Source organism: Homo sapiens, chromosome 6 (genome assembly GCF_000001405.40).
Source record: "Homo sapiens chromosome 6, GRCh38.p14 Primary Assembly".
NCBI lineage: Eukaryota > Metazoa > Chordata > Mammalia > Primates > Hominidae > Homo > Homo sapiens.
Window position 1 is genome coordinate 42,859,121 of NC_000006.12, and position 15,769 is coordinate 42,874,889.

The window sequence follows — 15,769 nt, forward strand, 5'->3', positions numbered from 1 at the left end:
TTCTTCACGCCTATAAGCCCAGCATTTTGGAAGGCCGAGGTGGGCAGATCATGAGGTCAGGAGTTCGAGACCATCCTGGCCAACATGGTGAAACCCCATCTCTACTAAAAATACAAAAAAATTAGCAAGGGCATGGTGGTGCACACCTGTAGTCCCAGCTACTCGGGAGGCTGAGGCAGGAGACTCACTTGAACCCGGGAGGAGAAGGTTGCAGTGAGCTGAGATTGCGCCACTGCACTCCAGCCTGAGCGACAGAGCAAGACTCTGTCTCAAAAAAAAAAAACCCACAGTGGGTGTGAAGACTGAGAAGAAGAATGAATTAGAAGGTGTTCAAATCCTTGGAGACCAACAGACAGAGGACAGAGCCACATGACCATGACAGTTTAATGTAAAGCTGTGTCTTTACATTAAACTGGTTTACCTAGTCCAGACAGTTGGACTTCATTGTTTCAGCTATTTTAGTTTTTCATACCATTAGGCTTAGGTCATCTAAACTAGCAGATCATTCTCTACTCATTGATATATATATATTTTTTTTTGAGACAGAGTCTCATTCTGTTGCCCAGGCTGGAGTGCAGTGGCACGATCTTGGCTCACTGCAAGCTCCGCCTTCTGGGTTCACGCCATTCTCCTGCCTCAGCCTCTCGAGTAGCTGGGACTAGAGGTGCCCGCCACCACGCCCAGCTAATTTTTTTTTTGTATTTTTAGTAGAGATGGGGTTTCACCATGTTAGCCAGGATGGTCTCCATCTCCTGACCTCGTGATCCGCCCACCTCGGCCTCCCAAAGTGCTGGGATTACAGGCATGAGCCACCGTGCCCGGCCTACTCATTGATATTTATTGCGAGTCTGTTATATGGTTTTATTTTATAGGTGATATCAAAGTAATTATGTTTTTGGTTTCCTAGTTAAAGTTAAAAGAGTTAGTAATAAAATGAGTTTCCATGACCAGTGGACAGTGAGGGAATGCAGTGTAGAAGGATGATGCTTAGCCGGGGAAAAGCTCATCTAAGAAGAGAAAATTGCCCCAGATAAGCCATGTTTGAATAACAGAAGAGTAATGTATTTCAGTCTTAAGAAACAGAAGACCTAGTCAGTGATTTACAGTCTCTCACTATTTCTTTGTCTCTCTCTTTTTAAAGTGGACAATGAATTTGAGACAGTTGCCACTCAGCTCCTAAAAAGGACCCAAGCTATGCTTAACAAATACAGATGCCTGCTCCTAGAAGATGCCATGGTAAAAGTCATGCTACTGATATTTGTTCTTTAAAACTTTACAGGTCACAGCCACTAAATCAGAGACAGAAAGGTCAAGGAATTATAGAATATAATGTAAAAGTAACAGATATTTCACACTGTAGAAAAACTTACGCTTAGCTGCTACTACAAAAACAGCAGTGAACATTTGCTGTACTTTACTTGGTGGGTCAGTACTATTCTCTTGTTTAACGGATAAGGAAACCAGGGCTTTGGTTAAGTAACTTGCTCGAGAACAGATGGCTAAGAAGTTTGCAGAGTAATTAGCAGAGCTCGGATACGAGCCAGGATCATCTGACCCCTGGTCCACACTCTGATGCCATCTACCGCCTTTCACCAACCCAGAGATGTGGGAGAAGGACTGGAGGCACATCTGAACAGATAAGCTGGTGACAAATGTCAAAATTAGTTTTGTTTTTGAGAGATCATTGACATTCCATAAAATTTACATTTAAAGTGTACAACTGAGGCCAGGCATGGTGGCTTATGCCTGTAATCCCAGCACTTTGGGAGGCCAAGGCGGGTGGATCACCTGAGGTCGGGAGTTCAAGACCAGCCTGACCAACATGGAGAAACCCCTTCTCTACTAAAAATACAAAAAGAGCTAGGCGTGGTGGCGCATGCCTGTAATCCCAGCTACTCGGGAGGCTGAGGCGGAAGAATCACTTGAAGCTGGAAGGCAGAGGTTGCAGTTAGCCAAGATCATGCCATTGCACTCCAGTCTGGGCAACAAGAGCGAAACTCTGTCTCAATAAAATAATAATAATAATAATGAAAAATAATGGATCACCTGAGGTCAGGAGTTTGAGACCAGCCTGGCCAACATGGTGAAACTCGTCTCTACTAAAATACAAACATTTCAGTGTTCAGAGTTGCAGTGAGCCGAGATCGCACCACTGTACTCCAGCCTGGGTGACAGAGTGAGACTCCGTCTCAAAAATAAATAAATAAATGAAGTGTACAACTTGATGGTTTTTAATACATTTACAAGGTCATATTGTCATCACCACTGTCTAATTGCAGAACATTTTGATCATCCCAGATAGAAACTGCAATTCATTTGAAGTGCCAGTTAAATAGAGAAAGGAGTGAGAATAAGATACCTCAGAAAATGATAGAAAGACCGAACCTGAGATTTGAGAAGCAGTTCTAAAATCATATAGGCTTTAACCTATCAATTGGTCTCTTATAACTCATTTTCAATTTGATATCAACTTTGAAAATGTACCTTGGGAGATTGGTTGAGCTATATTATACACATATACAACATAGAGTAAATGTGTATCCGTGTGTCTGTATTTACTTAAATATATCTATATTTACTTAAAATTATGCCACCAGGCCAGGCACAGTGGCTCACGCCTGTAATCCCAGCACTTTGGGAGGCCGAGGTGGGTGGATCACCTGAGGTCAGGAGTTTGAGACCAGCCTGGCCAACATGGCAAAACCCTGTCTCTTGTAAAAATAAAAAAATTGTCTGGGTGTGGTGGTGCGTGCCTGTAATGCCATCTACTCCAGAGGCTGAGACAGGAGAATTGCTTGAATCTGGGAGGTGAAGGTTGCAGAGAGCCAAGATTGTGCCACTGCACTCCAGGCTGGGCGACAGAGCGAGACTCTGTCTAAAAATAAATAAATACAATAAAAAATAATGCCACCAAAGTCTGTAATAATTGTTCTCAGGCAGGTGCGGAGGCTCATGCCTGTAATCCCAGCACTTGAGGAGGCCAAGGCGGATGGATCACCTGAGGTCAAGAGTTCAAAAAGATTTCTAAGATACATTATTAAGTAGAGGAGAAAAAAATACAGAACAGTATATATAGTTGCTACTATTTGGGTACAAAATAAAGAAGTATATTTCTTTATATATAAATATATTTATAGTACATATATATTCTTATGTGTGTCAGAAATATCTCCAGAAGAGTACTGAAAACTACTAGGCAGGCAGATGCCTCCAGGGAGAGGCACTGGGTGATAGTGGGTGCACACCAGGGAGAGGCAAAGAAAGGAGGCTCACTTTTCACATGCCCTGTAGTATCTTTTGAATTTTGTACCAATGTGTAAATTATTTTTTCCAAAAGCAACCATTTTTTAAAAATTGTCTATGAAATGACTGGCCTCTCTCTTTTTCAGCGAATCAATCCCTCTGCTGAGATGGTGATGATCGATAGGATGTTCAACCAGGAGGAAAGAGCTTCCCTGTCCCGAGACAAGCGTTTGGCACTTGTAGACCCTGGTAAGAAACATCGCAGTGAAAGTAGTGGATAGCTCCTGCCATGGTTCAGGGACCATGGGGCCTTTGGCAGTCTGTCTGAACTTTGGGTAAGAAACTTGAAGGTAGAACGTGAATTCTGGGGAGAGCTGGGCACGGTGGCTCACACCTGTAATCCCATCTACTTCCTTCTCCTCTTTGGCCTGCACAGCCAATGTTTGTTGGATGGAATCATCTTTTTAGATTTCAAGGCTATATTCCCTAGAACTCACATTTTAGAATTTGGTGAACAAATTCATGTTCACACTATACATACATACTCTTCGTTGTTTTGTAGATGTCATCAAAGCTCTATTTCACTTCGATTATTTCCAGCATTAACACTTTTTCCACTCTTGTGTAACAGCAGTCTGCCTGCCTCCATCTGTACCCTCAATGTTCTAAATCCTCATGGACATTTCTTTTTTTTTTTTTTTTTTGAGACGGAGTATCGCTCTGTCGCCCAGGCTGGAGTTCAGTGGCGGATCTTGGCTCACTGCAAGCTCTACCTCCCGAGTTCACGCCATTCTCCTGCCTCAGCCTCCCAAGTAGCTGGGACTACAGGCGCCTGCAACCACACCTGGTTAATTTTTTGTATTTTTAGTAGAGACGGGGTTTCACCGTGTTAGCCAGGATGGTCTCCATCTCCTGACCTCATGATCCGCCTGCCTTGGCCTCCCAAAGTGCTGGGATTACAGGCGTGAGCCACCGTGCCCAGCCACGGACATTTCTTTTGCCATCCTCTGCCTCCTCAAGCCTGGTGCAGTTCAGTGCTCACTCACAGACGCAGCTCCTACATACCCATTGTCCTTCCATATCATTTTGGATGAGTGTTGGCTATTCATTTTGTGGTCTTGGGAAAGTGATGCCAGGTTTCTCCTGTGTGTCTAAAGGGATTGAAGTGCTTTCACCCAAAGACAAGTAGCTATCTTCACCCGGAAAGTATGTAAGACAGATAGGTTTTCTGTTTCCTGGTGTCTATCACCCTTCCCTGCAAAGCCCCATTCCAGGCCCTTCTGCTCTAAGGAAGAAACCAGGCTGACACCAGGAACTAATTTCTGTTTTCAGACTGTTTCAAGGAGGTCATTAGCTGAAAACTAATTTAAAATAATACTTAGAGGCTGGGTGAGGTGCTCACACCTGTAACCCCAGCACTTTGGGAGGCCAAGGCGGGTGGATCACCTGAGGTCAGGAGTTCAAGACCAGCCTGACCAACATGGTGAAACCCCGTCTTTACTAAAAGTACCAAAATTAGGCCAGGCGTGGTGGGTCACGCCTGTAATCTCAGCACTTTCGGAGGCCGAGGTGGGCGGATCATCTGAGGTCAGGAGTTCGAGACCATCCTGACCAACATGGCGAAACCCTGCCTCTACTAAAAATACAAAAAAAATTAGTCCGTTGTGGTGGCAGATGCCTGTAATCCCAGCTACTCGGGAAGCTAAGGCAGGAGAATCGCTTGAACCGAGGAGGCAGAGGTTGCAGTGAGCCGAGATCACGCCACTACACTCCAGCCTGGGCAACAAGAGCAAAACTCCGTCTCAAAAAAAAAAAAAAATACCACAATTAAATGGGCATGGTGGCGGGCGCCTGTAATCCCAGCTACTCGAGAGGCTGAGGCAGGAGAATTGCTTGAACCCGGGAGGCAAAGTTTGCGGTGAGCCAAGATCGTACCACTGCACTCCAGTCTGGGCAACAGAGCAAGACTCCATCTCAAAAAAAATAAAATGATACTTAGAGATCAGGACTGAGTGATGCTTTTTGCCCATCACATTTTCCCATTTGTCATCAAGCATCTACCTTTTCAAAAGGTTTAAGCTCCCCATCTTGAAGCTGGGGCTCCACAGCCTTGGCTGCCTTTACAGGATGCCCTCTCAGGATCAGGGTCCTGCTTCTGCATGTTCCTGTATGTGAAGCAGATGGATTCTGTGAGTGGGGCTGGCTTTGCCCTCAGCACCTGACCCACTGAAGTTCTGCTGTATAGTCTGTCCTCTCCCAATCACTCACTAATGTTCTTTTTGTTCCCATTTCCAGAGGGTTTTCAGGCTGATTTCTGTTGTTCCTTCAAACTTGATAAAGCTGCTCATGAGACACAGTTTGGCCGGAGTGACCAGCATGGCAGTAAAGCAAGCAGCTCTCTGCAACCGCCAGCCAAGGCCCAAGGCAGAGACCGAGCCAAAACCGGTGTGACGGAACCCATGAATCATGACCAGTTTCATCTAGTGCCTAATCACATCGTGGTCTCTGCAGAAGGAAACATTTCTAAAAAAACAGAATGCCTTGGCAGAGCACTGAAATTTGACAAAGTGGGCTTAGTGCAGTACCAGAGCACGTCTGAAGAGAAGGCCAGCCGGAGAGAGCCTCTGAAGGCCAGTCAGTGCTCTCCCGGCCCTGAGGGGCACCGGAAAACCTCATCCAGATCGGATCATGGTACTGAGAGCAAACTGTCAAGCATCCTAGCAGATTCGCACTTGGAGATGACGTGTAACAATTCCTTCCAGGACAAAAGTCTGAGGAATTCTCCAAAGAATGAAGTTTTACACACAGACATCATGAAAGGGTCAGGCGAACCCCAGCCAGATCTCCAGCTGACAAAGAGCTTGGAAACCACATTTAAGAACATCTTGGAACTCAAAAAGGCGGGACGGCAGCCCCAGAGTGACCCCACGGTTAGCGGCTCTGTTGAGTTAGATTTCCCCAACTTTTCTCCTATGGCTTCACAGGAAAACTGCCTGGAAAAGTTCATCCCGGACCACAGTGAAGGTGTTGTAGAAACTGACTCCATTTTAGAAGCAGCTGTAAATAGTATCCTAGAGTGTTAATAGCAGCAGTCCTCCCCCTACCCCGCCCCGAGACCCCACCCCGAGACCCCACCCCGGACCAGTTACATTCGTTCCTGGCAAAAGCAAATGGAAATGGTCTCCTGTCTCCAGCCTGCTTGATCTTTCATCACAGGTTATTCTTTCTAATCTCAATCCTGTTCTTTGTTTAAGAGCAATACTTGTCGTGATTACAGGGAGATCCTTTAGTAAAATTAATCCTTGGCAGAAAGCAGTCTGATAGGCCCCACTCATTTCAAGTGTTATGAAAGTGCTTATAGGCATTTTGTTTATTTGTTTTGTTTTTTAAAAACACTGTAACTCAATGAGACCACAGTATACTTGGCCCTTGGTAAAATTTTGACAATCATAAGTCATTTGAAAAGAACAGACTTACTAAAATCAAACGAGACGGATAGAAGCTACTTTTTAAAGAATATCCCACTGCATCTGCAAATTTAGTTTTGGGTTTTTTTATTATTATTATTTTGAGTTTTTTTGTGTGTGTTTTGTTGTTATTGTTGAGGGGAAGACCACATGGTTCTTCCCCCTCAGCCATCTTTGAGCAGTAAATTGCTGGCTGTGCTGCCAGGGACCCGCAGCCCTGGTGGAAAAGCCAGTAGCACATACGCAGGGCATTGCAGGGCTTCCCTATTGATGGTTCAAGTGCTTTTCTGATGCTTCCGGAGCAAAACCTCATGCTTTTAGGCATATCTATGTTGAATTTCACCTAGGGAATGTTCTGTTCTTAGTTACAGCAGCAAAATTTGAAATAATTTCACCAGGCTAAATAAAGGAAAATGGAAACCAGTTAAGAGGCACAGTGTACAGAGGAGGCCGGGATAGAGCCATGAGGGTTATAATATTAATATGTATATATGTAAAAGCATATATATGTTAACTATTGAGAAAAAACAAGTTTTGCATTTTATAATTGGATATAGTCAACATATAATGTATGTTTTTGTTTGTTGCTGGATTTTGTTTCATTTAACCTCTCTTTGCACCCTCTCCCACAACAAATACCAAGCATCAAAAGCACTTTCATTTGAAAATTATTATGTTGTAATTTTTCAGTTTAAACTTTAAGGAGACTCTGGCCTTGTTTATGCTTCTTGTCTGAGAACAGTAGTGACCCCTGGCAGCAATTCATTACCAAAACACAGACAAACCAAAGGTAACCAGCTAGCCCACCACTGAAAGGAAAGATCTGAGACATGGGATTCCCATTTGAGAGCCAAAGGATATGCCCTGTCATGGTTTCTGTTTGGCCTGTGTTCATATTAGTGAGCATGGCTTACTGCTTTATTTATTTTTATTTCTTGTCAGGGAGTATTCTCCGTTTTCCTTTCTCGTATACCTGCCCCAGGTTATCCCATTTCTGTTGTTACCTTTATTCTTAATGTCATTGTAACCATCACTTATCTCCTCTCATTGGGAAAGCTACATGATAGTATTTTTATGCACTCTTCTCCCACACATACACACACGTGCATGTATCTGAGCTGCTCGGATCCAGAGGTCATTTTTGTTACAGTGTGTGCACACTCACTCTCCTTCTTAGTGTGCATACTCTCTCATTTATTCTGTTTATCTCCCTGGCTCTGGAGGTGCAGCCACTGGTCTTCACTTTAATGTGTTGCCAGAATCTGCTTCTGGCTGTCGCCAACATGGGGATGACCCCCATTGTCATCATGTTGGGCATTTCTTTTCCAGATTGGCCTGTGATGGAAAGGAAGGCTTCTAATTAGAAAACACAGCAACAGAAGACCTATACCCCGGTGCCCCTGTGTCCCACTACACACAGAAAACCCTGTGAGATGGCCAGTCTTCATAATAGCAACGTACCTTCACCCCAGCCACATGCCCCAGCCAATACAAATTGGAAAATCTGGCCCATTTTAGGGTTACCATTTTTTCCTTATTTGTGCCAATGTCCAAGTTGCAGATTTCCCCTTTTTCCTGTATTGTAACATATTAGATAAGTTGGTGTCGCCAGTTGGTACTTTCTGTTTGGGTAGTCCTAGGGTAACACCCTGCCCTAAACTCCATGATTTCATAGGCTTTTCTTCCCTTGGGGCTCATGCTCCCCTAATTCCTAGCAAGATGATCCTTCCTAATCAAATTCTTCTCATTGCAGAACTTTATCCCTGGAAGCCTTCATGTGGGCTGCTAGTGAGTTACATTAATTACTGCAAATCAGTGGAATTCTCAAGAGACAAGATAAGCTTCATGTACATTTGTCACCTCTCTTTCTTCCCTATCCTGCCCTGCTGTCCCAATCCTAGCTTTTCTATATACCATCCTAAAGGGTTTTTAAGCCCTAACACTTGTCTAGCAAATGGAGAGCCTAATTTACCAAAATGAAACTTGTAAATTTTTGTGTCATTGTATGTAAGTTTACTTTTTATGGAGGAAGGATTCTAGATAATGACAAATGAAGATTATGACATGTATTTCACTCCTGTGATTAGGTTCTACGCACATGGGTCATAACTCGCATGTCGAGCCCCCTCTAGTGAAGGGTAGGAGAGCTCAGCCTCGGATGGCCAACATTCAGTTGTTCAGGTTCATTCGTCAAAGTTAAGTTTTAGAACTATTTGTACTCAGTAACAAAAATCATTTTCTTTTTTTTTTTTTTTTTCTGTTGTGGAAAAGCGTGAATTTGTTATTAAGCATTTGATTTTCTGTGTCCTTAAGTACTTCCTGAAGATGAAGCAAAATTTTAATCTGGCAATTATGAAAAAGAAATATTTTAGCTCTGAAGGATTTAGTAGATTCTGTTAGATTAGGGAGGCCTTACAGACTGACTTTACTTAAAGAGGACGCGTCACTCGCTGTCAGTGTGGTGTGGGCTTTATTTGCTTAAATACCTTCATTTGTATAGTACGTCTCACTTGAAATTGCTTTGTATACATTTTGTAAAAATATTTATAAAATGTTTTGTAAAAAAAAAAAAACTATAACAAATTGCAGTTTATTTTGTTATGTTGGATAAATACTGTTAAAAGAAACCAGTCAGTAACTATATTGTTAATCCATGGTTAGGAAATGTTTAGTTGGAGATTACAAATTGAAACAACCATTGCAATACAGCCAAAGATTTGGGAAAATGTGCAACTGTGATTGTCTTGATTTTGCAAATAGGAATGGCTACTTTTCCCAGAAGAAAAGGGTAAGTGTTCAATGGGAATTCTATTTTAATAGATTTACCAATACCAAAATCAATTTACCCCAGTCAGGGAAGGGATAGGATTTTAATTGATTGGCCTTTCCAAACAGTTACAAATTAATGAAGCTGGTCAGTGAGGAGGTTTGGTCCTGTACACCTTTGGCCTCCATCCCTACTCCTGCCACATAGGTCCTTAGCTATGGAAGGAAAAGTGGGGGTCATGTGAAAAGTCAGGTAAGTGAGCCTCACTCTGCAGGAGATTTTATTTTATTTTATTTTATTTTGAGGTGGAGTCTTGCTCTGTCCCCCAGGCTAGAGTGCAGTGGCACACAATCTCCGCTGACTGCAAGCTCCACCTCCCAGGTTCACGCCATTCTCCTGCCTCAGCCTCCCTAGCAGCTGGGACCACAGGCGCCCGCCACTGCGCCTAGCTAATTTTTTGTATTTTTAGTAGAGACGATGGTCTCGATCTCCTGACCTTGTGATCCACCTGCCTCGGCCTCCCAAAGTGCTGGGATTACAGGCGTGAGCCACTGTGCCCGGCCTAGGAGATTTTCTTCAGTTATGTTTATTTTGTTTCTGCAAGGACAAGGAAAAAGCTAAGTGATAAATGATTTTACATAAGAGATATTCCAGAATTAACGTTTCTCTTTGGATTCAACATATTGGACCAAATTTTGTATTAAAAAATAACTCTATAACCTTATGTGTAAAATCAGCCCCATGAGGCCCTTTTGAATTCCTGCCCTCACAAGTGTTTTTCCACCCAAATTGTTAGGGAAGCTTCTAGAGGTGAAATGTATTTCTGGGAACAAATTGTTCTTTAGGGCCTAGAATTTACACTTGTACTCATTTATGGTTTAATTAGATTCTCCCCTGTGCCCTAAGAGCAGTAGAAAATCAAGATTCAGCAGTAATCAGTACATAAATAGAAAGTCATTTTCTAAAAAGATTAAAAGGCAACAAAGAAAGTCATTTTCAAATAACTAACAGAATGATATGAAGGGATCTATCCACTGATGTCATGTATAGTGTTACCCTAATGTCAAGTTTCTCTTCTTGCTAAGGATAAATGTGTGTCCAGAATGACATTTTTGTCCCTCTTCAGGCCATTTACAATGGGAGTGCCCCAGGAATGAAGAGTTAGAAGGAAGGATCAGCCGGGTGTGTTGGCTCACACCTCTAATCCCATCACTTTGGGAGGCCGAGGCAGGCAGATCACCTGAGGTCGGGAGTTTGAGACCAGCCTGACCAACATGGAGAAATCCCATCTCTACTAAAAATACAAAATTAGCTGGGTGTGGTGGCGCATGCCTGTAATCCCAGCTACTTGGGAGGCTGAGGCAGGAGAATCACTTGAACCCAGGGAGAGGTGGGGGTTGTGGTGAGCCGAGATCGCGCCATTGCACTCCATCCTGGGCAACAAGAGCGAAACTCCATCTCAAATAAAAAAGGAAGGATCATCTGGTTGCTAGGTTAGGATCTGTCTCTGTTCCCTGGGGGCATGCCTGGAGGAAAGACAGGCATCTTCTCTTAGGATGGTTAAAACCCTCAGCTGTGTGTATGGGAGGACACATTCCAGGAAAGGGGCCCTAAGCACTTCCTGAGGCAGAGAAAGTTCCAAGTTAATTATTGGGGGAAAGGTAAGGGAAAATAAACCTTTACAGTGTGGGGGCACTGCAACAGCATTGCTCAGGCAGGGCTCTAGCTGTGCTGTACTGAAAGGGCTAGGCCCTGGGGTTCAGGGTCATGCCCTACTTGCAGCCTTGTGTGTGCTCTCCAAGACAGAGGAGGACCCGTTGGGTATCCAGCTGAAAATGATGATCATTAACCAACAATATTACTTGAGCAGTTGACTGTTGGCAGACACTGTGCCAGACATTGGGATATACAGATAATTCAGGCATGCTTTCTGCTTTCAAAGGGCTCACAGTATACAGGGGGAGCAACACACAGATATACATTACATTTGGGAACTGACTGGAGTTCAGGAGAGAAGAAAATAGGATGCTATAATTTTTCTGGGCTGGGCATGTGGCTCATGCCTGTAAGCCCAACGCTTTGGGAGTCTGAGGCAGGAGGACTGCTTGAGGCCAGGAGTTCAAGACAAGCCTGGGCAACACACAGTGAGACCTATCTCTACAAAAAAAATTAAAAATTAGCCAGGCATGGTGGCATATGCCTGTAGGCCCACCTACTCAGGAGGCTGAGGCCAGAGGATTGCTTAAGCCCAGTTCAAGGCTGCAGTGAGCCATGATCATGCCACTGGACTCAAGCCTGGGTCACAGAACAAGACCTTGTCTCAAAAAATAAAATTCTTCTGGACTGCCACAATAAATTGCACAGAGAGCTGTAAATTACATTTCCATGCCCTGGTTCTTAGTATTTTCCTGAGTTAAACTTGAGAAAAAAATATACCTTCTGCAGTAACAAAGATAAAAGACTTTATTTATTTATTTATTTATTTTCTGAGACGGAGGGAAATTTCCCTCTTGTTGCCCAGGCTGCAGTGCAATGGCGCAATCTCGACTCATCGCAACCTCTACCCCCAGGTTCAAGCGATTCTCCTACTTCAACCTCCCGAGTAGCTGGAATTACAGGCGCCTGCCACCATGCTGGCTAATTTTGTATTTGTAGTAGAGATGGGGTTTCTCCATGTTGGACAGGTTGGTCTCGAACTCCCGACCTCAGGTGAACGGCCTGCCTCGACTTCCCAAAGTGCTGAGATTACAGGCGTCAGCTACCACACCAAGACCTTTGTAATTAAATTGTTAATTATGTGGAGAAATCTGTTTCAGTGTATTCACAAATAGCAGGAGCACATATGTAGTATAAAGTGGATTCTGTAATATGAATTGCCTGTCTACGCTGCTGCAGGTAAAAGACCTTTATAAGAAACCCAGGCCGCGTGTGATGGCTCACGCCTGTAATCCCAGCACTTTGGAAGGCTGAGGCAGGTGGATTACCTGAGGTCCGGAGTTTGAGACCAGCCTGACCAATATGGTGAAACCCTGTCTCTACTAAAAATACAAAAATTAGCCAGGCGTGGTACACCTGTAGGCCCAGCTACTCGGGAGGCTGAGACAAGAGAATTGCTTGAACCCAGGAGGCGGGGTTGCAGTCAGTGAGCCGAGACCACACAACTGCACTCCAGCCTCCAGCCTGGGCAACAAAGTGAGACTCAGTCTCAAAAAAAAAAAAAAAAGAAACCCTCATCTGTATTACTCTTGGGTATGTGCTGGAGTCTGACCTTTGAAACCAATTGCAAAGGCAAGAAGATCCTTGGGAAAAAAATTACTTCTATGAAGGTCAAGGAAAGCAGTGCAACTGGGTGGGCAGAAAGTGCCTTTGGCAGCAGAATGTGGAAATTGGTTCTGGTATCTCATCTATCACATAATCATGTATCTTCATACAACTTAACTCTCAGTCACCGTGTCCTTGCCCATAAACTAAGAAGACTGGTCTTGGCCCTCTACTTCTTAGGGTGTAAAATGTGTTACTAAGGCCGGGTGCAGTGGCTCACACCTGTAATCCCAGTACTTAGGGAGGCTGAGAGGAGGGCTGATCACCTGAGATCAGGAGTTAGAGACAAGCCTGGCAAACAAGGTGAAACCTTGTCTCTGCTAAAAAAAAAAAAAATACAAAAATTATCCAGGCATGTTGGCGGGTACCTGTAATCCCAGCTAATCAGAAGGCTGAGGCTGGAGTATTGGTTGAACCCAGGAGGTGGAGATTGCAGTGAGCCAAGATCGTGCCACTGCACTCCAGCCTGAGTGACAGAGCAAGACTCTGTCTCCAAAAAAAAAAAAAAAAAAAAGGGTGTTACTGAAGACATGTAGACAGTAAAAAGAGCAGGGCCGGGCACAGTCACAGTGGCTCACGCGTGTAATCCCAGCAGTTTGGGAGGCCGAGGCGGGCAGACCACCTGAGGTCAGGAGTTCAAGACCAGCCTGGCCAACATGGCGAAACCCCATCTTACTAAAAATACAAAAAATTATCTAGGCATGATGGCACATGCCTGTAGTCCCAGCTACTCAGGAGGCTAAGGCAGGAGAACCACTTGAACCTGGGAGGTGGAGGTTGTAGTGAGCCAAAATTGTGCCACTGCACTCCAGCCTGGCTGACAGAGCGAGACTCCATCTCAAACATGAAAAAAGAAAAAGAAAAAAGAGACCAGGCGCAGTGGCTCACACATGTAATCCCAGCACTTTGGGAGGCCGAGGCAGGTGGATCACCTAAGGTTGGGAGTTCAAGACCAGCCTGACCAACATGGAGAAACCCCATCTCTACTAAAAATACAAAATTAGCCAGGCGTGGTGGTGCATGCCTGTAATCCCAGCTACTTGGGAGGCTGAGGCAAGAGAATCGCTTGAACTGCAGAGGCGGAGGTTGTGGTAAGCCAATATCACACCATTGCACTCCAACCTGGGCAACAAGAGCAAAACTCCATCTCAAAAAAAAAAAAAAAAAAAGTAAAACGAGCCATGTTCCATTATCCCTAAATAATTCAGAAGTTTGGGTTTTTCTGTTTTGCTTTTAGTCTTACCTGCTACATACTTTCACCTTCCTACCCCAGCTTTCTTGTCTATCCTCAAGCCTCAAAAGGCTGCTGCCCCTCACCTGTTCTCTCCCTTTCCTTCCCACTTTTGCTACCTTATGTTTGTTTTTCATTAGGATCAAAAGCTGTTGTTCACATTGTCTGCCTCAACTCCAGGTTCATCCACTGCTCTCAGACTAATCTCTTTCCTACTTGCTTCCTGATAACCCCTTGTCACTTACAAGCAAAGCTTGAAGCAAAATGAAGCTGACTGCAAAAAGTGTCTTAATCCAAGAAAGAGGATGGAGCAGATGGGAAATTGCAGATAGAGTTCCTCTTAGGGTGTGTTAGGTGTGGCAGCTTTGCCTTAAGTAAGAGTAGGATTCCAAATAATCCAGAAGTGCAGAGAATACTGAAATAAATTATGCACGGACGTGTTAGGAAAGGGATTCTGGAACCAATTCAGAGAGAACCACAAAAATCCAATTACTTACAGAGCTTTCTTTTTTTTTTTTTCCTTTTTATTTCTTTTTTTATTTTTTTTCTGAAACAAGGTCTGGCTCTGTCACCCAGGCTGGAGTGCAGTGGCGTGATCTCTGTTCACTGTAACCTCCACCTCCCAGCCTCAACCCATCCTCCCATCACAGCCTCCCAAGTAGCACGACTACAGGCACACACCACCATGCCCATCTAATTTATATATAGATATAGATGTTTTTCCTTTTTCTTTCTTTTTTTTTTTTCTGAGACGGAGTTTGACTCTGTTGCCCAGGCTGGAGTGCAATGGCGTGATCTCAGCTCACTGCAACCTCCACCTCCCCAGGTTCAAGCGATTCTCCTGCCTCAGCCTCCCAAGTAGCTGGGATTACAGGCACGTGCCACCATGCCCAGCTAACTTTTGTATTTTTAGTAGAAACGGTTTCACCATGTTGGCCAGGCTGGTCTCGAACTCCTGACCTTGTGATCTGCCCACCTCGGCCTTCCAAAGTGCTGGGATTACAGGCATGAGCCACTGTACCCGGCCTTTTTTTTCTTTCTTGAGACAAAGTCTCACTCTGTCGCCCAGGCTGGAGTGCAGTGGTGCAATCTTGGCTGACTGCAACCTCCACCTCCCAGATTCAAGCGATTCTCCTGCCTCAGCCTCCCAAGTAGCTGGGACTACAGGTGCATGCCACCATGCCTGGCTAATTTTTTTGTATTTTTAGTAGAGATTGGGTTTCACTGTGTTAGCCAGGATGGTCTCGATCTCCTGACCTCATGATCCACCCTCCTCGGCCTCCCAAAGTGCTGGGATTATAGGCGTGAGCCACCATGCCCTGCCAAGATTTTTTTTTTTTTTTTCTGAGATGGAGTCTCGCTCTGTCACCCAGGCTGAAGCACAGTGGCGCAATCTGGGCTCACCGCAACCTCCATCTCCCAGGTTCAAGCAATTCTCCTGCCTCAGCCTCCTGAGTAGCTGGGATTACAGGCACCCACCACCACACCCAAATAATTTTTGTATTTTTTTTTAGCAGATAATGAGGTTTCACCATGTTGGCCAGGCTCATCTCGAATTCCTGACCTCGAGTCATCCACCTGCCTTGGCCTCCCAAAGTGCTGGCATTACAGGTGTGAGCCACCTTGCCCAGCCATGTCTGTCTGTCTGTCTATCTGTCTATTTATCTACCTATCTATCTATTGAGACAGGGTTTCACTCCAGTTGCCCAGGCTGGAGTGCAGTGGCAAGATCTGGGCTCA

General features: G+C 44.5%; 1 protein-coding gene across 10 annotated transcripts in view; it reads left to right on the forward strand.

Annotated features, from left to right (window-relative positions):
- BICRAL (BICRA like chromatin remodeling complex associated protein) overlaps positions 1 to 9,436 on the forward strand; it is a 122,218-nt gene extending 112,782 nt beyond the window's left edge. For 9 of the 10 annotated variants that reach the window (XM_047418544.1, XM_047418547.1, XM_047418542.1 and 6 more), the window contains 3 exons: positions 1,142 to 1,236; positions 3,390 to 3,492; positions 5,539 to 9,436. In XM_047418544.1, the coding sequence (XP_047274500.1) occupies positions 1,142 to 1,236; positions 3,390 to 3,492; positions 5,539 to 6,326 (986 nt within the window). In that variant the 3' untranslated portion in view covers positions 6,327 to 9,436. Of the gene's footprint in view, positions 1 to 1,141; positions 1,237 to 3,389; positions 3,493 to 5,538 lie in introns of those variants that run through there. The other variant, XR_007059228.1, reaches the window with a different exon arrangement.